Below are 22,630 nucleotides of genomic sequence, written 5' to 3' on the forward strand. Positions count from 1 at the left end.
GTACAAAAATGTGAATGTCAACGTTATTTTTAATACCAACAAATTAATACCCAAGTAACTAACAGTGGTGTGAACACACTAAAGAGACAGGATTATGGAGGACATCCAACAGCCCTTCTAAAAACAACTAGATCCCTGAAACCGCTCCTTTTAACGTGTTGTTGGGCTTGCATAAGGTAAGGAAAATCCCTAACCCAACCCCCTCTTCTCACCACCCACCCACAAAGAGCTGCAACTAGAGTTTTGAGCATGAAGCAACTGGGAAGGCTGAGCTGTCCTACAGTCCAGTGCCACTATCAGCACTGATTCTAGGAATAAGCCACAGGGTAGAGGATCTATCTAAACCAGAGACTCTTCCCTTTTGCCAAAGATCCCTATCCTCTCTGGAAGAAGGCATCCCCTATTTGGGTCTCCAGGATTCCTATAGATTAAGATCAAACAAATCAACAAGGCAAACAAAATCAAGCAAGGCAACACGGATGAGTCAGCCAAAATAAGAGATTTTTTTTTTTTAACCACCAAGGTTTTATTGTATCTGATATCAGAATATAAAATAACTTCATAAATTGCTTAAAGAAATAAAAGACAGAATTTTGAAATAGACAAGCCACAAGGAACTAGAAAAAAATACCAAGGAGATGTGAAAACAAACCAAATAGAATTTTCAGAAATTAAAGATAGAACTACTGAAATGGGGCCAGGTGTGGTAGCTCACGCCTGTAATCCCAGCACTTTGGGAGGCTGAGGTGGGCGGATCACAAGGTCAGGAGATTGAGACCATCCTGACTAACACGGCGAAACCCCATCTCTACTAAAAATACAAAAAATTAGCTGGGCGTGGTGGCAGGCGCCTGTAGTCCCAGCTACTCGGGAGGCTGAGGCAGGAGAATGGTGTGAACCCAGGAGGCGGAGCTTGCAGTGAGCCAAGATCGCACCACTGCACTCCAGCCCGGGTGACAGAGCGAGACTCCATCTCAAAAACAAAAAAAGAACTACTGAAATGGAAAACTCGATAAACAAGTGAAATGGCAGATTAGACACAGCTGAATGAATCAATGAACTGGAAGATAGAGCTGAAAAAAGAAAAGCACCTGGAATGTAGCACAAGGAGACAAAGATATGAAAAATATGAAAGAGCAGTTAAGATGTGTGGGAGATAAAATAAGGTTTGACATAGGTCAAATTAGAGTCCCAGAAGAAGTGAATATGATAATGGAGAAGAGAAAATATTTGAGAAAATGAGAATTTTCCAGAACTAATAAAAGACATAAATCCACAAATAGAGAAAGCATAACATACACCAAACAGGAAAAATATAAAGCACAGCACACCCAAATCACATTGCACTAAAATGTCAAAAGGACAAGAAAGAGGTAGAGAAGACCTTAAAAGCAGCCAGAGAGAAAAGACAGATCACCTACTGAGCAAGGACAGACTATCAGAAGACATCTTAACAGCAAAAACCAGATGTTGTATGAAATGTTTAAATGCTATTAAGAAAAAAAAAAAACAGAAATGAAGCCCTTCTGTGCACCCAGATAAAAAATTATTTTCAAAACTGTGGACAAAATATGAATATATTCAGATACAGAGGGAATTTACCAAAAACCCTTCACTAAGATAGCTTCTAAAGAATATTCTTCAAGAAGAGGAAGAAAACTATAAATATCTGTAGGCCAATAAATTAGAAAACTTAGATAAACTGAACACTTCCCTAAAAAGACACAAACTACCAAAACTGACTTAAAAGCAGACAATATGATTAGACCTATAACAATTAAAGAGAATGAATTAAAAATAAAAAAACTATCCACAAAGAAAAGCCCACTCAGATGGCTTCACTAGTGAATTCTGTCAAATATTTAAAGAATAATTAATACCAATCCATCTCAACTTCTTCCAAAAAATAGAAGAGGCTGGAACACCAACTCATTCTATGAGGCCAGTGTTACACCCCGATCCCAAAAACAAAGACATCACAAGAAAACGAAACTACACACTATCTTAAGAATATGGATATGAGAATCCTCAATAAAATAATCAAAAACTGAATCCAGCAACATATAAGAAGGACAAGACGCCATGACCAAGTGGGATTTAGCCCAGAAATACAAAGTTGGTTTTAACACCAGAAAATAAATTTATGTAATACACCACATTAACAGAATAAAGGACAAAAACCACATGATAATCTCAAATGATATAGAAAAGGCATCTAACAGAATCCAACACCCTTTCAGAATAAAAACACTCAGCAAATCAGGAAGAGAAGGGAACTTCTTCAATCTGATAAAGGAATCTACAAAAAACAACTAACATCATACATGACGATGAAAGACTGAACACTGTCCCCATAAGACCAAGAACAAATCAGGGATGTCTACTCCTGCCATTTTTATTCAACATTGTACTGGAGGCTCTAGTCAGGAAATTACGCAAGAAAAATAAATCAAAGGCATCCAAATTGGAAACGAAGAAGCAAAACTATTTCTACTCACACATGATCTTAAATAGAGAGAATCCTAAAAAAATCCACTAAAAAACTATTAGAACATACAAACTCGGCAACGATGCAGGCTACAAGATCAATATACAAAATCAAATTGTATTTCTACACCTGAATACACTTGTAATGAGCAATCTGAAAATGGAATTCAGAAAACAATTCCATTTACAACAGCATTAAAAAGAAAATATTTTAGAAATAAGTTTAACAAAGAAGCATAAAACCTTAGTTTACACTCTGAAAACTAAATAACAATGTCAAAAGAAAACCAAGATCTAAATAAATGGAAAAATATCTCATGTTCATAGATCAAAAGACTTACTACCCAAGGTGACTTACAGATTCCTCAAGTCCCTATGAGAATCCCAGCTGGCTTCTTTGTAGACGAAGCTGATTCTAAAATTCATATGGAATTACAAGAGGCTCCAAATAGTCACAACAATCTTGAAAACAAAGACCAAAGTTAGAGAACTCACACTTCTCCATTTCAAAACCTACTAAAAAGCAGTAGTACTCAAGACAGGGTACTGGCATAAGTGCAGACATATAGATCAATGAACAACTGAGCATCCAGAAATAAAGCCATACATCTATGGTCAACTGATTTTCAAGAAGGATGTTAAGATCACTCAACGGGGAAAGAATAGTCTCCTCAACAAATGGTGCTGACCGGGCACGGTGGCTCACAACTGTAATCCCAGTACTTTGGGAGGCTGAGGCAGGCAGATCACTTGAGGCCAGAAGTTCAAGACCAGCCTGGCCAACATGGCAAAACCCTGTCTCTAGTAAAAATACAAAAAATTAGCCGGGCATGGTGGCACATGCCTGTAGTCCCAGCTACTTAGGAGGCTGAGGGAGGAGAATCGCTTGAACCCAGGAGGCAGAGGTTGTTGCAGTGAGCCAAGGTCGTGCCACTGTACTCCATCCTGGGTGACAGAGTGAGACTCTGTCTCAAAAAAAAAACAAAAAAATGGTGCTGGGACAACTGTATATCTACATGCAAAAGAATATTGTTGGAGCTGGGTGTTACGGTGCACACCTATAGTCCCAGCTACAGGGGAGGTTGAGGCAGGATTACTCGAGCCCAGGAGTTTGAAGCTGCAGTGAGCTACGAACACACCACTGCACTTCAGCCTGTGTGACAGAGCAAGACCCGACCCTGTCTCTGAAAAAAAAGAATGATGTCGGACCTCTACCTGAAATCACATACAAAATTAACTCAGAATGGATCAAACACCTAACTATAAGAGCTAAAACTATAAAACTATTAAAAGGGAACATGGGAAATCTTCATGACCTTAGATTTATTTAGCAATGAATTCTTAGATATGACACCAAAAGTATGAACAACCTAAGAAAAACTAAACTGTACTTCAACAAAATTAAAAATGTTTGTGCATCTAAGATATTACCAAGAAAGTAAAAAGGCAACCAACAGAATAGGAGAAAATATTTGCCAATCATGTATCTGATAAGGGTCTAGTAGCCAGAATATACAAAGAATTCTCAAGATAAATGACACTATTAAAAAGTAGGCAAAGGGGGCTGGGCACGGTGGCTCACACCTGTAATCCCAGCATTTTGGGAGGCCGAGGTGGGTGGATCACTTGAGCTCAGGAGTTCAAGACCAGCCTGGGCAACATGGTGAAACCTTGTCGCTAACAAAATACAAAAAATTAGCCAGGGATGGTGGTGTGCACTTATAGTTAGTCCCAGCTACTCAGGAGGCTGAGATTGCACTACTGCACTTCAGCCTGGGTGACAGAGAGAGATTCTATCTCAAAAAAAAAAAAAAAAAAGTAGGCAAAGGATCTGAATAGACATTTCTCTGAAAAAGATATATAAGTGGGCAACAAGCACATGAAAAGATGCTCTTAGTCTTCAGGGAAATACAAATCAAAACTACAAGATACCACTGCACACTCTCGACGACGGCTAAAATCAAAAGGACAAGTAATAACAAGTGTTGCTGAAGATGGGAAAAAAATAAAGACAACTTCATACACTGCTGGTGGGAAGATCGAACCGTACAGCAATTTTGGAAAAGTCTGCCCAGGTCCTCAAAAATTTAAACATAAAAGTGCCACTGGACCTAGCAATTCCACTCCTAGGCATATTACCCCAGAAAAGTGAAAACGCACATCCATGCAAAAAAACCCTGTACCCAAATATTGATAACAGCATTGAGCATAATAGCCAAAAAGAGGAAACAACCCAAATGTCCATCAATGGATGAATGGATATGTCCACCCCATGGACTATTACTGAGCCATGTAAAGGAATGAAGTACTGATGCATGCTACAACATGGATGAACCTTGAAGACATCAGGCTAAGTGAAAGAAGCCAGCCACAAACGACCACACATTCAATGACTCTGTTTATATGCAATATTTGGAAGAGACAAGTCTACAGCGATAGAAAGTAGACAGGTAGTTGCCTAAGGCTGGGGGTCATGGGGAGACAATGGGACGATAGCTAAAGGGTACAGGGTTTTTACTGAAGTGATGAAAATCTAAAATCAACTGTGCTGATGATTGCACGTATCTTTCAATACAGTCAAAACCGCTGCACTGAACACTTTCAGTGGGTAAACTGTATGGTATATAAATTACACCTCAATAAAGTTGTTACAGAAAAGAAGGAAAATGGAGAAATAGCTAAGCTACAAGAATGTTAGGCAGTGATATGGAAAAACACATGGATAAATCTAAACATCTGTGTAAAATAATACTCTAAATTATGACTAAAAAAAAAAATACCAAGACAAACAGAACAATACTGCACATAAGTTTGGAGAGACAACTGGAATTAAGTGTCCCAAGTCCTTATATTGTGTGTGGACTGGGAGTATGAAATAACTGATTAGACTTTAAATATGCAGGATCAAATTGGACAAGACACCACAAAAGGGAGAGAAACAGGAGTAACTTCCAAACACATAGAGCAAAAAATGACATAAAAAAAACTAATAAGTAAAAGTACACAGAGGTCAAAAAACTATGGGCTGGGGGCCAAATGCAGCCCACCACCTCCTGTTTTTGTTTTCCTGGAACTCAGCCCCACTCATGTTTTCTCCATGGCTCCTTTTGAGCTACAGTGGCCAGGCCGGGTACCTGCAACAGGGACCAGACATTACAAATGTCTGCTGACCCCTGCTACCAGATACTACACAACAGACAAAAGCAAGAGTTATTGGGGGCTTCAGTCTCCTGAGCACTGAAATGAAGACAATATTCCCTCTTTTCTTCAGCGGTACACAGTTCAATTTTTTTTTTTTTTTTTTTTGAGATGGACTCTCGCTCTGTCACCCAGGCTGGAGTGCAGTGGTGCAATCTTGGCTCACTGCAGCCTCCACCTCCCGGGTTCAAGCGATTCTCCTGCCTCAGCCTCCCAAGTAGCTGGAACTACAGGCATGCACCACCATGCCTGGCTAATTTTTGTATTTTTAGTAGAGACAGAGTTTTGCCATGTTGGCCAGGCTGGTCTCAACTGATCCACCTGCCTCAGCCTCCCACAGTGTTGGGATTATAGGCGTAAGCTGCCGTACCCGGCCCACAGGGTTCAATTAGATAAACAATATGAGTGCAAGAACTTTTGTGTAGGAAGGAATGTCCTCAGCCTACTCCTCAGCTTCAGCTTCACAACTACCCTCTTCAGGTTCAATTACCAGAAGCTAACTTCCTACAAGAGAAAAAGGGCAGGCCCTTCTATGACAGCACGGAAAGACCTCAAGCCACGTTTCTCCCACCAGTAACATCTTGCAAAGCTACAATATCACAGCAAGGTGAGTGATGCTGACACAATCCACAATCTTATTCAGATATCTCGGGTTTTACATATATGCGAGTGTGTATGAGAGTGTGTGTGTGATCACACGTAGGTTCATGCATCCACCACCACAGTCAAGATACAGAACAGTCTGATCACCACAGGGATCCCCTGGTTTGACCTTTTATAACCACATCTACCTCCCTTGTTCCTCCTTGCCAACCCCTGGCAACCACAAATCTTTGCCATTCAAGGATGTTATACACACAGAATCATTCAGTGTGACCTCTGGAGATTGGTTTTCGTCACCAACAAAGCCCCCTGGAGGTCCACCTGGGCTGTTTAGCAAGAGTCTGTTCCTTTTTGGTGCTGAGCAGAGTTCTGTGGTATGAATGCACAGTCTGTCTGACCCGCTGGAGGTCACCGTGGAAAGACATGTGGGTGGTTTCCAGTTTTTAGCTGTTACAAAAAGGGCTGCTGTGAACATTTCTGTACAGGTTTTTTGGTGAGTGTCAGTCTTCATTTCTCTGGGATAAATGCCCAGGAGCACAAGTACAGGGTAATTGCGTGTTTAGTGTGTAGGAACCTTCCAAACTGTTTTCCGGAGTGACTGTGTCATTTTCCATCCCCATCAGCAACAGATGAGAGATCCAGTTTCTCTGCACCTCCATTTGGTGTTGTTTCAGTGTCTTTATTTTAGCCCTTCTGCTAGTTAAGTAATGTCTGCTTTAGCTGCTTACAACACTACATTTACATATCAGGTTAAAAGATTAAAGTAAAATTAAAAAGTAATCCATACTTATTTTGTGGAAAACTGAAAAATACAGAAATACATAAAAAGGAAATAAAGTCCTGTTTCTTCTCTTAGGAAAAAACCCGCCACACTGCTGTTTATACCTAAATCAACGTACCCAACTGGCAGACAGCACGAGGCAGGTGCCACTGCTTTCTTCTCACCCCAGGGCTCCACTTGGAACTCTCCTCACCAGGATGACAACTCTGCCCTGGGCCTCTGCTAACATCCCTGTGGCCCTTTGCGTCAGAGCCTCACCTGAGGCTTTACCAGACATCCTCAGTTCTCCTCAAAACAGACAGCTGCAGCCCCAGTTAAAGAAAGCACTGAGGGCTCTCTCCCAAATGTGAGCCACAGACATGTCAACGGGACAGGGCAAGTGGGTCCCAGGGCTCCAGGCAGCGGTGCATGCACATGTGGGGAGGAGCGCCAGCTCGCTCCAGAACAGGTTTCCTCACTGCTTATTGTCCTGTAAAGGCTTTGGCAGCCTAGTAAAGCCTATGGGCCTCTCTCAGAATAACTTTTTTTTTTTTTTTTATGAGATGGAGTCTCGCTCTGTCGCCCAGGCTAGAATGCAGTGGTGCAATCTTGGCTCACTGCAATCTCTGCCTCCCAGGTTCAAGTGATTCTCCTACCTCAGCCTCCCAAGTAGTTGGGACTACAGACGCCTGCCACCACGCCTGCTTAATTTTTTTGTATTTTCAGTAGAGGTGGGGTTTGACCATGTTAGCCAGGATGGTCTCAATCTCCTGACCTCATAATCCACCCGCCTCAGCCTCCCAAAGTGCTGGGTTTACAGGCGTGAGCCACCACACCCGGCCCAGGATAACATTTTAAAATGTGTAATATAAAATACAGGTGGCAGAAATGTAAAATACCAAAAAAAAAAAAAAATGTTTTTTTGAGACGGGGCTTGCTCTGTCACCCAGGCTGGAGCACAGCGGTATGATCACAGTTCCCCGCAGCCTTGACTGCATCCTCCTACCTCAGCTTCCCAAGTGGCTGGGACTCTAGGCACACGCCACTACGTCCAGCTAATTTTTTAATTTTTCTTTTGTAGAGATGGGCGTCTCACTATGTTGACCAGGTTGGCTTCCAACTTTTGGTTTTAAGTAATTCTCCCACCTCAGCCTCCCAAAGTGCTGAGCCAAAATATTTTTAAAAACAAATGTATTCCGTAGTAATATGTAACATTTAATGCAGTGATGAATAAACCACATCTCAAAGTGTCTGCAGTTACAGTGTGAGACGGAAAGTCTGTTTTTTTATTCTCTTAGTGGCAAACTCCTGGGTCCTGATGAACCCACAGGCTCATTGCCACATTCGTAATGGAAAGAAATGCTAAATTCCAGGTACAGCTTAGTGAAAATGAAGATGCCATTTTTTTCCTATCCAAGCTCATGGAGCCCTGAATTTCACAGACCCAGGAAGTACAGGGCCAGTCCTCTTCCCTAAGAGACTCCTGCAGGCTGTCCCTTGGCCTCGGTTCTAAGGGAAGGAAGCCGCCCGCATACAGCCAGGGGCAGGGCAGAGGCACAGGTGGGGTCCCAGGACCCTGGCAAGGGCCTTGTAGCAAGGGACAGTTGGCAGAGAGCCTGTTGTGGGCTGCTGAGAAGGCATGCAGATGGGTTGCAGATCGGCCGCCCCTGGGGCCTGACCCCACCAGGAACGGGCCAGGGCAGAACTCAACCAAGGGAAATTCCCCTTAAAACCTCAATGCACCACCACCTGCCCCAGTTCATCTGGGAGAAACTTCAGCCACTTCTTTTTGATCCCAAGTTTTCTGCTTTAAACCTCAGGGGTAGGTAATGGAAAAAAAAATACAAAAAACAAAAAAACAGATTAGTGCTAAGAAGCTAAGGATCACACAGCAAGTTTTTGGATGGGTCTGCCCACCTTCGTTAGCGCGAAGGCCACTGTCCCGTCATCCTCAGTGGAAAGGTCAAGCAGCTTCTGGTAAAATGCTTCATCATAAGGCCCATCTATTTGTAAGGTTTTTCTGAAGAAGAAAGCACAATAAAAACAGGATGACAAAGCCGCACGGAGGTTGTTTCTTAAACTGCTAACAGTCTACAAAGCCCAGCACCACTAAACATCACACATTTTGTTTTGAAAAACACATAACAGATCTATCTCCCTCATGTTAAACATCAAGGTTTTTAACAGAACTCAGCAAGACCAGAACCAGCGAGCCTTGAAGCTGAGCCTTCTCCTGTTCATGACAAGTAGCATCCTGCGTCAGAGATGCAAGGAAGACCAGCGAGGAAGGAAGAGGATCCTGGCCCCGACTGGACACCGCGGGTGTGGACCCCAATGACCCGCAGTGAAAGCCCAGGACAGAGGCTGGGCTGACACAGAACGACCTGCAGGAGCGCTGCTCAGCTGTGGAGCAACACTGCCCTCTGCAGGCTCAGCCCCATCTTGGGGTTTCGAATTAGCAAGGTCACAGACGTGCTTTCTTTTCTAGAAACAAGTGACCCTGTTCCTCCTTTACAAGGCACTACATTCCAGAGCAGGCCTGGGCACCTGGGAGCGGAGGACTGGGGTAGGAAGTGGCCGGCATGCTTCATCCTCCTGGGAAGCTGTGCCTTGGGAGGCGCATTCTTACCCTGCCCACTCCCACAGTCTCCTCTCAGGGCTGCCCAACAGGGGGACCGCCCGACCTCACCTCTCCTCGGGAAACTCTTCCAGGTATCGCTCAACCCGGTTGTACAGAGGGTAGAGGCCTTCGATGTCCAGCAGGTCCAACATCTGCACCTGGAGGGTTTTGTACAGAAGACAGCCCTTCGGTAACCCCGAGCGCTCTGGGGTGTTTTTTCCTACCGAGAACATCAGGGGAAAACGAGAGCATGTTGATTATCAAAGAACGTGGAGGGAGACACAGGCCGGCGCAGACCGCAGGGCTCATCCTGGGCTCCGCCATACGGGCATCACCACAGGCAAGGACTGCACCCTGGACTGGCACTAAGGACAGACGAGATGACGCTCCCGCCTCACAGAGCTGCTGGAGCTGCAGCGTGCCTGGACCACACTGGATGCACCAGGCCAAGCACAAAGGAGGGAGCAAGAAATGCACATGTCCTGCCTCGTGGCTCTCCTCTCCCAACACAACTCTCAGAATGTCCTTTAGATTCCACCACAACAGCCCTGGAAGTCACTTTATGATCTAAGTTTAGACATAATCCTCATTTTAAGTCAGGTCACAAAATTTCTTCTTTTTCTTTTCTTTTTTTTTTTTGAGACAGAGTCTTGCTCTCTGTGGCCCAGCCTGGAGTGCAGTGGCGTGATCTCGACTCATTGCAACTGCAAGGCAAGGAATTTCTAAGATCCTGCTGACATCCTAAATCTGCAAGACCACTAAAGGAGGAAAACCCTGGGACACTGTCTGCAGAGTCCAGAGCCATGAGCCCACACTGAGAGGCAGGTAAGACCTGGGCTGGCGACAGGCACGAGCTCAGAACCAGCCACACAGAGCCACAGACAGGGGTCAAAGCCACTGACAAGGACCTGTTATATCATAGGGACAGAGGCAGAAACAAAACTCCACTTGCCACTCACAGTTGTTTGGCACCTGTGCTGTACAGGGTGCCAAGTGAGCTTGGGAGGTACCAAGTCCCAGATCATCTCCTGCCACTGAAGGGAGCAACCATCTCCCACAAAGAACCAAACTACAGGCAAAGACACAGTAAGAAAGGTGTCCATGCAGGGGGAAAACTGTAGTCAGCTGCAGATTTCACTAGGACCCGGCACGAAAATGCCAACATGCAGGGAAACAGGAGTAAAAGTTCACATGCCCAACTAGAGGGGATTTGTTAAAATTACAGCAGATCCATGCATGGTCAATAAAGAACAAAATGCATGTGATCTCCAGGCGCCGTGGCTTACGCCTGCAATCCTAACTTTCTGGGAGGCCAATGCTGGCAGATTGCTTGAGCCCAGGAGTTCAAGACCAGCCCGGACAACATGGAGAAACCCCATCTCTACAAAAAAAAAATACAAAAATTAACTAGGCGTGGTAGTGCGTGTCGGTAGTCCCAGCTACTCAGGAGGCTGAGGCAGGAAGATCACTTGAGCCCTGGAGGTGGAGGTTGCAGTGAGCCAAGTTCACACCACTGCACTCCAGCCTGGGCAACAGAAACAGACCTTGTCTTTAAAAATAATTAATTTAAAAAAAAAACATATATGTGATGATATAGATACAGATTTATGCTAGTTAAGTAAAGAAAGTCAAGTTACAAAATGACATGTAGAGTATGATCTTATTGTTTTAAACTGCACATCCCAGCAGCCAGGGCCCAGCTCCACTCCCTCCTGTCTGTGTCCATGTCCAAAAAGGTCTGCAGGAGCCCCGGGGTGCTGTGGCGCCTCCTGTTGGTGCCCCCAGACCACCTCAGCAACTGGTGCCATCTGTCGTTGCAGACACAGTTGGCTTCCTTAAAAGCAATTATGTGCCCAGATTATAGGCATAATTTTAACAAAATTTTCTGAAATGATCAGGAATCACTTTCATAACAAGAAAAAAAAAACCCCCACAAAGTTCATTTGTAGTGAGAAAACATGGTGGCTCATGCCTGTAATCCTAGCACTTTGAGAGTCCAAGGCAGGCGGATCACTTGAGGTCAGGAGTTTGAGACCAGCCTGGCCAATATGGCGAAACCCTGTCTTTACTAAAATACAAAAATTAGGTGTAACGGTGCGCACCTGTACTCAGGAGGCTGAGGCAGGAAAATCACCTGAACCTAGGAGGTGGAGGTTGCAGTGAGTCGAGATCACACAACTGCACTCTGGCCTGGGTAAGAGAGTAAGATCCTGTCTTGAAAAAACAAAAGAAAAAATTGGCACAGATAATAAGGCAGGGCTTAGGGTATGGGTTGGTTTCTGGTTGCACACAAGCAGGACTGCTGTCTTCAAACCATCTCAGGCTCCCAGAGACCATGGGGTCTCTATGGGCTGCCAAGAATCACGGGCAGCGTCAGCTCATGAGATGTCAGGACATGTGGCAGCGGCCAGGCCCGGCTCCTGTCTGCAAGGAAGGCGTCCCGCAGTCCAAAGGCCCCATGGGTCTGTGTCTTCACCCCAGACTTGTGAAGACATCCCATTGTGGTAGGACCCAGCCCTGCAGGATTTCTGTGCCTCAATTCTCTCTGTCTAAGGAACAAGCCAAGGAAAACCTGTCCCCCGGGTTGCAATGAGGATCCAACAGGATATATAACATGGTTGAAAACATTCAACAAACCAGAGAGGACCACAACATATGGATGATATTCTGGGGGAAAATCCTACAGCCCAAATGTGTCCTGCAATTTACAGATGCAGATAAAAGGCAAGAAAGGGAGTCTGCATCTGGGGGTGAGAGGCAGCGAGGCCCCGTGCTGGGAGCCCTGGCGTAACCAGGTGGCATCCCCCAGAGCCCCCAGGAGGCTGTGCTGACCGCCTGGCCACCCATGGGGACTGCAGAGTCCCAAGGCCCCTGCGGCCCCCACCGCCTACCTGGGGAAGGCTGGGCCCTACCTTGGCAGCGAAGGCTCCTACTGAAAGGGCTGGCTTCGCAGACTCGCGGGCCCTGAGGCCCGAGCCCCGGACTCAGGGTGCCTGCCCGGCCCTTGTCCGAGCCACTCAGCAGCACCCGTGTGATCACGTGCACCAGCTCCCTGATCACAGCCCTTGTGCAGTGGGGCCCACTGGCCAGGCCGTTGGAAGGGAAGAAGAACGGCTTCAGGTGGTGTGCAAGCTCGCTCCAGTCAGCCACGGGGCTCCGGGCATCTTTGCAGCCGTAAATCAGCTCACCATTCTTCAGACAGGGAAAAGAAAGAGGGAAACGTCAAACCACCAAGCTTGTAGGAAAAGAACTCAGTCCCCACCACCAGCATCCCAGGCAGCGGGTGAAAGCCAAGGGCCCTGATGCTGTCCACCCAATCTGGGGCCGCTGCATACTCCGGCTCCTCCGGGGAAATCCACCCTCACGAGCTGTGCTATCAACCAAGCACCAAACCTCAAGACATGAAAAGGAAGGAAAGTTTCAAAAACTAAAGAGCAGTGCCCTGGCCTGACCAACGCCCCCAGACAATGATCCACAGTATATTCAGAAGCCAAGAGCAAATGCTCACCACAAGTGACAAACTCCCAAAGCCACCAGCCCAGTTACTCAAGAACCTGAGGGCCTTGGCTCTGGCCCTGAGCAGACAAACGTGAGGATGGCAGTCAGCACCAGCACCACAAACGAGTGTGTCCTGGGGTTCAGGCCACGCCCAGGGTGACCCCAGTGCTGGGTGGTACAGCTGAGCCAGATGGTGGGAGAAGCTGCTGGCATCACCAGTATGGTCCATGCTCAAGACGGTTCTGCCTTCTTAAATCAAGCCCAGCAAAGAAACTCCTTACAACATCAACACTTAGATTCACACATTCCCAGGGCACAGGCAGGGACATCTGCTGCCATGCCCAGGGGGAGTCAACACCATGACTCATGGGGGTCTGGATGCTGCCCAGGGGAAAGGCCCCTGACAGCGGCCAACCCCAGGAGAGTAGCAACTCTTTAAACCTTATTTATTTCTTTTTAAAAAAAAATTTTAATGTTTTTGAGACAAGGTCTCACCCTGTTGCCCAGGCTAGAGTGCAGTGGAGCAATCAAAGCTCACTACAGCCTTCAACTCCCAGGCTCAAGCAATCCTTCCACCTCAGGCTCCCAAGTAGCTGAGAACACAGGCGCACACCACCACACCCAGCAATTTTTTTGATTTTTTGTAGAGACAGGGTTTTGCTACGTTGCCCAGGCTGGTCTTGAACTTCTGGCCTCAAGCAATCCATCTACCTCAGCCTCCCAAAGTGCTGGGGTTACAGGTGTGAGCCACTGCACCTGGCCCACACCTGGAACTTCAGAGCTTTCAGGGTTTTCTGTCTTGCTGGCTTTCAATACTGAACCGGACCAGATCGGCGGGAGAGCTGATGGAACGCACAGTAGGTAACATGCCTTGGCGGTGCCCTGTTATCTTAAAATCATTCTGCATCCCTTCTCTTAATCCATTCCCTTTTCAACTCTTTCGAAACAATCCTAATCCTCAGGACTTTTCCAAGCTGATTTTGACAAAAGTAGCAGACAGCCAGAGTTCCAGAGACATTAGGTGCAGGCCAGATGGGGTCAGAAAAGGATCCACCTGGGATAACATGCCAGCCTTATGACAGGCTTCAAACAAATCCCTGATGAAACAGAATGTATCTTCAGGGCTTAAATATCGAGTTTATAAAAATAAATTATATAAATATGAAATAAAAACTGCCTGTGAAATATGTCTTCCTTTCCTGGATTTGGGAAGGTAGAGGCAGACAGGGAATGAAGCCAATTCACTGCCCAGCAGCCAGCGCCATGGGTTTCTAACCAAGACCTGGGGAGGCAGGTCAAGAGCAGGCGCCATCTGCCCACTGCTGAGAGGCAGCCAGCCGGGCAGCAGGACGCCAGCCATGTGCAGCAGCGAGGAGAGGGGCCAGGGCTTCCAGTTCACCAGTCACCTCGTCCAGACCACGGCACATAGGAAGCTGAGAGGCCCATACTCAACAGCCCTGCCTCCTCTGAAGTATCCACCTGCGATGGCTGTCAGCTCCTGCAGGGAGCCCAGGACTCTGTCCCCAGGTGTCACTTATGTGTGATCATGAGGCTACAACTGGGACTGAGGTGATGACAAGGGGGACCCCAGAGGATACATGTCTAACAGGGACCCGGCACCCTGACTGCCACCCAGGCCTGCCCTGCCCTACATCTCATCCCCTCTCTCCCCAGCAGCCTCTCCTCCGCAGATGCCCCAACCCTGCCCAGCCCCACCCCCACCTCCTCTCCCTTGGACACCACTGCCAGCAGCAGGCCAGGTCACACCAGCCCAGATAGTGCCAGAGCCATCCTCACCCACAGTTCACCCATCTGCTTATAAGGGGAGACCAAGGCCCACCCAGCAACTGGTGGGGCTTTGGTCGAGCACCCCAGGGTCATGAGCAACCCAGGGTCACTCAGATGCTATGCTTGTGGAATCGTGCTCAGAAAAAGGTCAGGGAAAGACAGGTCTGGAACTGGAAGGTCCAAGGTGATGACTGAACCAGTCAGGGCATGAGGACCCCAAAGGGGATGTCAGACACACATGACGTGCAGCCCAGCCCAACACCCTCATCTGTGAGGTCACTTGAACCTTTGCCAGCCCCACCCTGAAACCACCATAGAATCAAAGCAGCTCTTACCTTAAATATCTTCAAGTTGTTCTGTGCCTCCTGCAGCAAACTCTTCAAGGCAAAGTGCATTCTCTGTTTGTTTCTAAAAGGGAAAAGCATTAACATGCTTTAAATGCAGCTGGAACTGACCTGTCCCTGCACACACACCTGCTCGTGGCTCAGAGGACATGCTGGGTACTCCCAGGGGCCGCTGGGAAACCCAGAGTCCAACTAGGTCCAAACAGTGACATTCTCCCCTCACTACAGCCCCACCATGGGCTCCCTCCCCGGAGGGTCACAGATGCAGCTCCACAGCCTGACACGCACTCACCAGAGATGTGGGGGTTGGCCCTGACCCCAGACTTTCGGGAGATGTGAGGGACCCAACTGAGGCACAGGAGTGGGAACCCCACCAGCTGCATCACAGCCCAACCCGAGACGGGTTAAGGGCTGCTATGCCTCCCTTGTTCCTCCTGCCGCAACTTCCAAAGGCTCAGGGGCAGCAGGAGACCTCTGATGGGCCACGAAGGGAGTGCTGGGAGCCAAGGAGAGGCTAGAGCCCCAGGGAGCCCTCGTCCTCCAAGCGACGAGCTGCAAGGATGGCCTCCTCCCCTACCCCCAACGGAGGAACCTCTGGAGGCCAAGCTGCCCATGCAAGCACACGAGCCTGACCCTGCCAGTAGGGACAGCCCACAAGCACACATTCAGAAAGGCATCCAGTATCCACGCACTCTAGCTGACTCCCAAAAGCCTGCATTCTACAACATTCCAGGGAGGTTTCCCTACTTATGTTCTGACACGTTAATAAATTCTCAACAATGAATCTTTATTACTGAATGCTTCACAATTCACAGCCTTTAGGTGCACAGGGAAATCCACATGGGACCCACAGGTGAGGGCACCGCCAGACTCGCTGAAGCCATGGAGTGAGCGGTGTTGGTGCCACCTTCTGAATGAGCATTCCCAATGTTTGTGAACTTTTTAACTTCCAAAGACAACTCCGCGTTCGATCTTTGTTCCCGGAAGTTTAAAAGAGCATCTAACCAAAAGCACTGACATGATGACCAGGCACGCACTCAGAGGCAGTGCTGAGCACTGACAAAGGCAGGGGCACGAAATGAATGGCTGGAGGACAGCAGGGGAAGAAAGAGGAAAGAAACTCACACAGTGGAGCGAGAAAAACCGGACTCACCAGAACAGCTCTGCAGTAACAGGGGTCCCAGGGAGGGAAAGGAGATTGGAAAGAGGAGCTGTGCTGATCAAAAAGGACAACAAAGGCACACAAATCTACATCGCTCTGTGGCCAAGGACTCTCTCCTGGGGGTGTGAGGTGGGGGTGCCTGAGTTGGGGCAGGGCACTGCCATGAGTCCCAGGTCCTGCCTCTCTCCACCTGCTCCCACCCTCAGCCCTGCCAGCATCCTCTGCTGCCCCTTCAGCCCCAGGGCCTGCTCGCTGGGCCCCCAGGCCCCACTGCGGACTGACCCTCCCCAGCTCCCAGCCACTACCGCCTTCCTGACCACAAAGGCTCTGGCCAGGACCGGACTCTGGGCTGCCCCAGGAGAGTAATGTGCAGGATGCACAGCAAAGCTCTGAAGGCCGGGGAGCGTGGAGGCAGGCCAAGGTGGGGAGCAGAGCCCAGGCACCTGATCAGAGGCTGCAAGCAGACCTTGCCGGGGCAGAAATAGCCACTGCAGCAGCAGACTTTTTAATATCCACAGAGGAGGGAGAGATCAAAGGCACAAACAACCAAACTATGAGGGCCCAGACGGATGGAGGTCAAGGCTGAGCACCAGTTGATTTCTGACATAAGTAGAAGACAAATCTAGTCACAATTCAGATGAGGAAACAACCAAAAGTGAGCAAGCACGTCAAACTGTGAGCACAGAGACAAGGCACGGAGCACAAAGCCCCAGGTGTCTACAGCGCTGATGGCAAAAGAGAGCCCTGAAGACAGAACAGGGCCTTCCCTGCCTTCCTACCTCACGAAATACCCCCCACCAGGCACTGGCCCCCGCCCTACCCATCTCCAGGGAACCTGACACAAGGGGGCAAAGGAGAAGTGTTCTCTTACCCTGAGTAGAGATCAAGGGGACAGTATTTGCTGATCTGCTTCCACTTCCCAGTTGCTACCTGTGAAAACACCAACAGGAGGGCATGAGGTGACTGGCGCTGGTGACTGCACTGTGCCAACTGAACACACAGAACAGCATCAGTGATGAAGACAATGAAGACGAGCTGCAGCCTTGCCCCGGAAAAGGTGCCACCACCTTTGCAGGTGCACATCACTAAGTGGCGGAGGGAGCCACTTGACTTCCATTCAAGGAAACCTTGGCCCCATCTGTGAGACATGATGTGGCGTGGCCCCCAGGCCAGCCCTTCACAGGAGCAGGGAAGAAAGTGGCAAACACCTTCAAATTACATGGCTAAATTTTGGTAATGAGAGTAACAAACCTTCAGAAGTTATAATATCCAGTAACAGGGAAGGTGTCCTTAACAAGAAATTTCATATTGCCAGTGGGAAGATAAGTTGGCATAACATTTTGAAAGGCAACTTGCTGGTATCCACCAAACTTTAAAATGCTTATGTCCCCTGGCTCAGCAAATCTACAAGGAACCTAGAAGAAGTAGCACAGGGCAAAAAGGTACAGACACAAGAATGTCCACTGCGGCCTTACTGCTAATAGCAAACCCTGAAACCAAGAGAGACACTCATCAGTAGGGAAATGACTAAATAAATCACAGCCCATCCACTAGTGGGACCAGCACATAGCAAACAATTTATTGAATGAAGAAATGCATAAATGATATGCAGCCACTACCAGAAAGAGGTAGAGTTAAAAGTCACCAAAATTTATTCAAGGAAAAAAGCAACTGGCAGAACAATGGATACAGTGTAATGTCAATTTTGCTTAAAAAAAAAAAAAAGCTTATGTGCAAATATCCATGCATATATCCAAATATGCACTGAAAAAGCCCTAAAGAATATATCACAAACAATCCTCAAGGATTAAGTGAAAAAAGCAATTAGACAAAGTACATATGGCATGATCCCATTTTTGCTTTGCAAGGGTGTGTGTATGCACGTACAGGCATGTAAACATTAGAACATGTGGACAGAGATCACTTCATTTCCACCTGAATTACATGCATATTTTTGTGGGCACAGGAAGAAGTCTGGAAAGATATGCAAATATATCTGACAATATGAGTTACCTGGGAAGGCAGGTAATCCAATTCATGCCATGTCATATGTTACCAGTTATATGAGCAGGTAGTGCTTTATAGTAAAATGTATTTCTTAAACATCTGTCACATATGTTGAAAGTGAATGGTGACCATGAAAATTGCATCCCAAGGGGCATGGCTCACATAACCGTCTTTCCCCTAAGAGCTTAGATAGTAATCACACCACAAAGAAAAGAAGGGGTGATGTTGGTGAAATAGTGGAGCAATGACCTCCAGAAATTCTCTCCTCTGTAAAGGCAATCAGAAAACTGGTTAAAAAAAAATGTCAGAATCAAAAAGTTTTGAACTCTGGAAATTGACCATAGACTTGCAACAATCCAGGAAGCATTTATTCAAGAAAAACAGCTAAATCTAAGCAAGATCAGTGAGCTTGTTGGCACTTTAAATGCCCTATTCCCATCCCTGTATCTCTAGCTCCAAGGTTCAGAACCTTGAAAATGAACAGCCGCAATCACAGTGAAAACCAGCTGCCCAGCAGCCACAGAGGACGCAGATGAGGGCAGGACATCTCCAAAGCCTCGTTCTCAGACAATCACTTATTTGACCTGTCTCTGGGTTCCCGGAAAGATCACACTTGCAAGCGTTCCCGGAAAGATCACACTTGCAAGGCTGTCTTCACTGACCTGGCTCAGAACTCACCCGTGCAGGAGGCCTTTTCCCCATGGGCATTTGTCAAAAACATTTAGAGGCAATTGTTTAACTTCATGGTTTCCTTGGAAGGAAACCCACTAGCTGCCCACTAAGCTAACTGAGCAGACTTTATTGGCCACATATGACAAAGAATACAGACTTCACAAAATTAGCGCAGAAAAGTCCCTAAACAAACAGTAACAACTACAAGAAGCAGCAATAAAAAATCCTGGAGAGGGAGTAGAATCTAATTCCAGAGGGGCCACATTATATTATTTCAAATGCCCACTTTCAACCTATCATCACAAAACACGCAAAGAAACAAGAAAGTATTGCCCATATACAACAAAAAAAGCAATCACTAGACTGCCCTGAGGAAGCCCAGACACTGGACTTACCAGACAAAGACTTCAATCAACTATTTTAAATATGCTTAGAGCTAAAGGAAACTAGGGACAAAGAACTAAAAAGAACAAGGAGAATAATGTCTCAACAAATAGAGAATATCAATAGAGAGGTAGAAATTATAAAAAGGAACCAAAAAGAAATTCTGGCTGGGCATGGTGGCTCACACCTATAATCCCAGCATTTTGGGAGGCTGAGGTAGGCAGAGTGCCTGAGCTGAGGCGTTCGAGACCAGCCTGGGCAACATGGTAAAACCCTGTCCTACAAAAAATTCAAAAACTAGCTGGGCATGGTGGGGTGCGCCTGTAGTCCCAGCTACTTGGTGGGGGCTGAAGCAGGAAGATGGCTTGAGTTCAGGGAGTCAAGGCTGCAGTGAGTCATGTTCACGCCACTGCAGTCCACTCTGGGTGACAGAGCAAGACCCTGTCTAAAAAGAAAAAAAAAGAAAGAAAGAAATTCTTTAGTTGAAAAGTACAGTAACTAAAATGAAAAAGTAACTAGAGGGGCTCAAGAACAGGCTTGAGTAGGCAGAAGAGAAAATGATTGAATTTTAGGATAAAGACCAAGAGATCTACACCTAGACACACCATAATCAAACTGTCACAGGACAAAGCCCAAGAGAGAATCTTAAAAAGCAAAAAGAGAGAAGTGGCTCATCCCATACAAAGCACCTTCCCTAAGATTAACAGCTGATTCCTCCATGGTTTCATTAGAAACCATGGAGGCCAGGAGGAGGCAGGATCATGACATATCCTCAGTGCTAAAAGAAAGATTGCCATCCAAGAATTCTATATCTACCAAGACTATCCTTTGAAAATGAAGGAGAAATTAAGACATTGCCAAATAAACCATAACTAAAAGAATTCATTGCTAGAAAACCTACCCTACAAGAATTACTAAAGGGAGTCCTTTTGGCTGAAATAAAGGATACTAGATAGTAACTCAAATCCACAGGAAGAAATAAAGAGTATCAGTAAAGGTAACTACATAGGCAAATATAAAAGAAGGTATAAACACATTTTGTAATTCTTGTTCCTCTATATAATTTAAGAGACAACTGCATAAGGTAATAATTACAAATCTGTATCACCCAGAACATCATGTAGAAACATCTAATTTGTATCCCAATAACAGCACAAAGGTTGGGGGAGGGAGCAAAGCTTTAGAGGAGCAAAACTTTGTCTATGATTGAAATGGAGTTGGTATTAACCTGAACTAGACTGTTCAGGTTATTATCTTAAATTAACACTCAGAGCAACGAGGCAGAAAGTCAACAAGAATGAAGGCTTGAACAACACTATGAACCAACTAGACCGAACACATCTATAGAAAATCCACCCAGCAACAGCAGGTTACACATTCTGCCCAAGCAAACATGGAACAGTCTTGAGGAAGAACCTTATGTTAAACCACAAAACAAGTCTCAATACATTTTAAGAGTGAAATCATGCAAACAATGTTCTCCAAATACAGTGGAATGAAACTAGAAATCAGTAACAAAAGAAAATTTGACTCACAAATGTGTAAAAAGTAAACACTCCTAATTATCAGTTCGTCAAAGAAGAAAGCAAAAGAGAAATCAGAGAATGAATTAAGATAAAATGAAAACACAACATACCAAAATGTATGGGATGAAGAGAAAGCAGTTACTTAAAGATTTATTAGAAGAATGATCTTAAATGAATAACCTAACTTTCTACAATAAAAAGCTAGAGGCCGGGCACGGTGGCTCACACCTGTAATCCCAGCACTTTGGGAGGCCGAGGCAGGTGGATCACGAGGTCAGGAGATTGAAACCATCCTGACTAACATGGTGAAACCCCGTCTCTACTAAAAATACAAAAAATTAGCCAGGCATGATGGCGGGCGCCTATAGTCCCAGCTACTCACTGCACTCCAGCCTGGGTGCAGAACGAGACTCCGTCTCAAAAAAAATAAAAAAATAAAATTAGAAAAAGAATAACACACTAAGCCCAATCCAAGCACAGGGAAGGAAACAGTAAAGATTAAAGTGAAGACAAATGAAATAGAAAATGGGGGAGAGGGGAGCAGAAAACTGAATAAAACCAAAAGTTGTTTCTTTGAAAGATCAACAAATATGACACAATCCTGTGGCTAGACCAAGGAAAAAGAGACAGAAACCAAATTACTAAAGTCAGATATGAAAGAAGGGGACACTACTACTGACCTGTATGCCATCACATTAGATGAAAATGGACAAATTCCTAGTAACACACAACTACCAAAAAAACCCACTCAGGAAATAAGAGAATCTCAACAGATTGGTAACAAGAGACTGAATCAGTAATCAAAAATCTTCTAACAAAGAAAATCCCAGGACCAAATGCCTTCACTAGTGAATTCTACCAAACATTTCAAGAAGAATCAATACCAATACTGAAACTCCTTCAAAAAACTGGAGAGTGAAAAGAAAATAATTCCTAACTCATTCCATGAAGCCAGTTATTACACTAGTACCAAAGCCAGACACCACTAGAAAACTACACACCAACATCCCTTATGATTCAAAAACCCTCAACAAAAAACTAGCAAACTGAATTCAGCAGCATATAAAAGTATTATACACCATGAGCAACTGGGATTTATCCCAGAAATGCAAGGTTGGTCCAACATGCGAAAATCATGTAATATACCATATTCATAGAAAGAGGAAGACACCTTGCTTTGAAGTGATAAAAATGTCAGCAACTAGATAGAAGTGGTGATTGTACAACCTTGTGAAGAGACTAAAACTGAATTATATATTTAAAAGAGTGAATCTGGTGAACACGGGCCGGGCGCAGTGGCTCACACCAGCACTTTGGGAGGCCAAGGCAGGTGGACTGCATGAGTCCAGGAGGTGGAGGCTGCAGTGAGTATGATTGCATCACTGCACTCCAGCCTGACAGGGTGACAGAGACCCTGTCTCTAAATTTAAAAAATAAAAAAGTTGAACATGAATCACTTTGTGAAATAAAATGTCAACTAAAAATATCCATATTTTCTTTTACTCTTCTGAAAACTGTGTGTGTCCATGCCTCAGCCCAGATCCCCAGCGTGCAGCTAGAGTAGCCCACAGCTGGGCATTG

At 45.9% G+C, this 22,630-nt stretch overlaps 1 protein-coding gene across 3 annotated transcripts in view; it reads right to left on the bottom strand.

The window, feature by feature from the left end:
- Positions 1-22,630, bottom strand: part of IPPK (inositol-pentakisphosphate 2-kinase) — a 56,949-nt gene that overhangs the window by 12,238 nt on the left and 22,081 nt on the right. For 2 of the 3 annotated variants that reach the window (NM_022755.6, XM_017015041.2), the window contains exons 7-11: positions 17,332-17,390; positions 15,290-15,362; positions 12,581-12,860; positions 9,738-9,888; positions 8,966-9,068 (exon numbers count right to left, since the gene is read on the bottom strand). In NM_022755.6, the coding sequence (NP_073592.1) occupies positions 8,966-9,068; positions 9,738-9,888; positions 12,581-12,860; positions 15,290-15,362; positions 17,332-17,390 (666 nt within the window). Of the gene's footprint in view, positions 1-8,965; positions 9,069-9,737; positions 9,889-12,580; positions 12,861-15,289; positions 15,363-17,331; positions 17,391-22,630 lie in introns of those variants that run through there. The other variant, XM_047423732.1, reaches the window with a different exon arrangement.

Source organism: Homo sapiens, chromosome 9, assembly GCF_000001405.40.
Source record: "Homo sapiens chromosome 9, GRCh38.p14 Primary Assembly".
Classification (NCBI taxonomy): domain Eukaryota; kingdom Metazoa; phylum Chordata; class Mammalia; order Primates; family Hominidae; genus Homo; species Homo sapiens.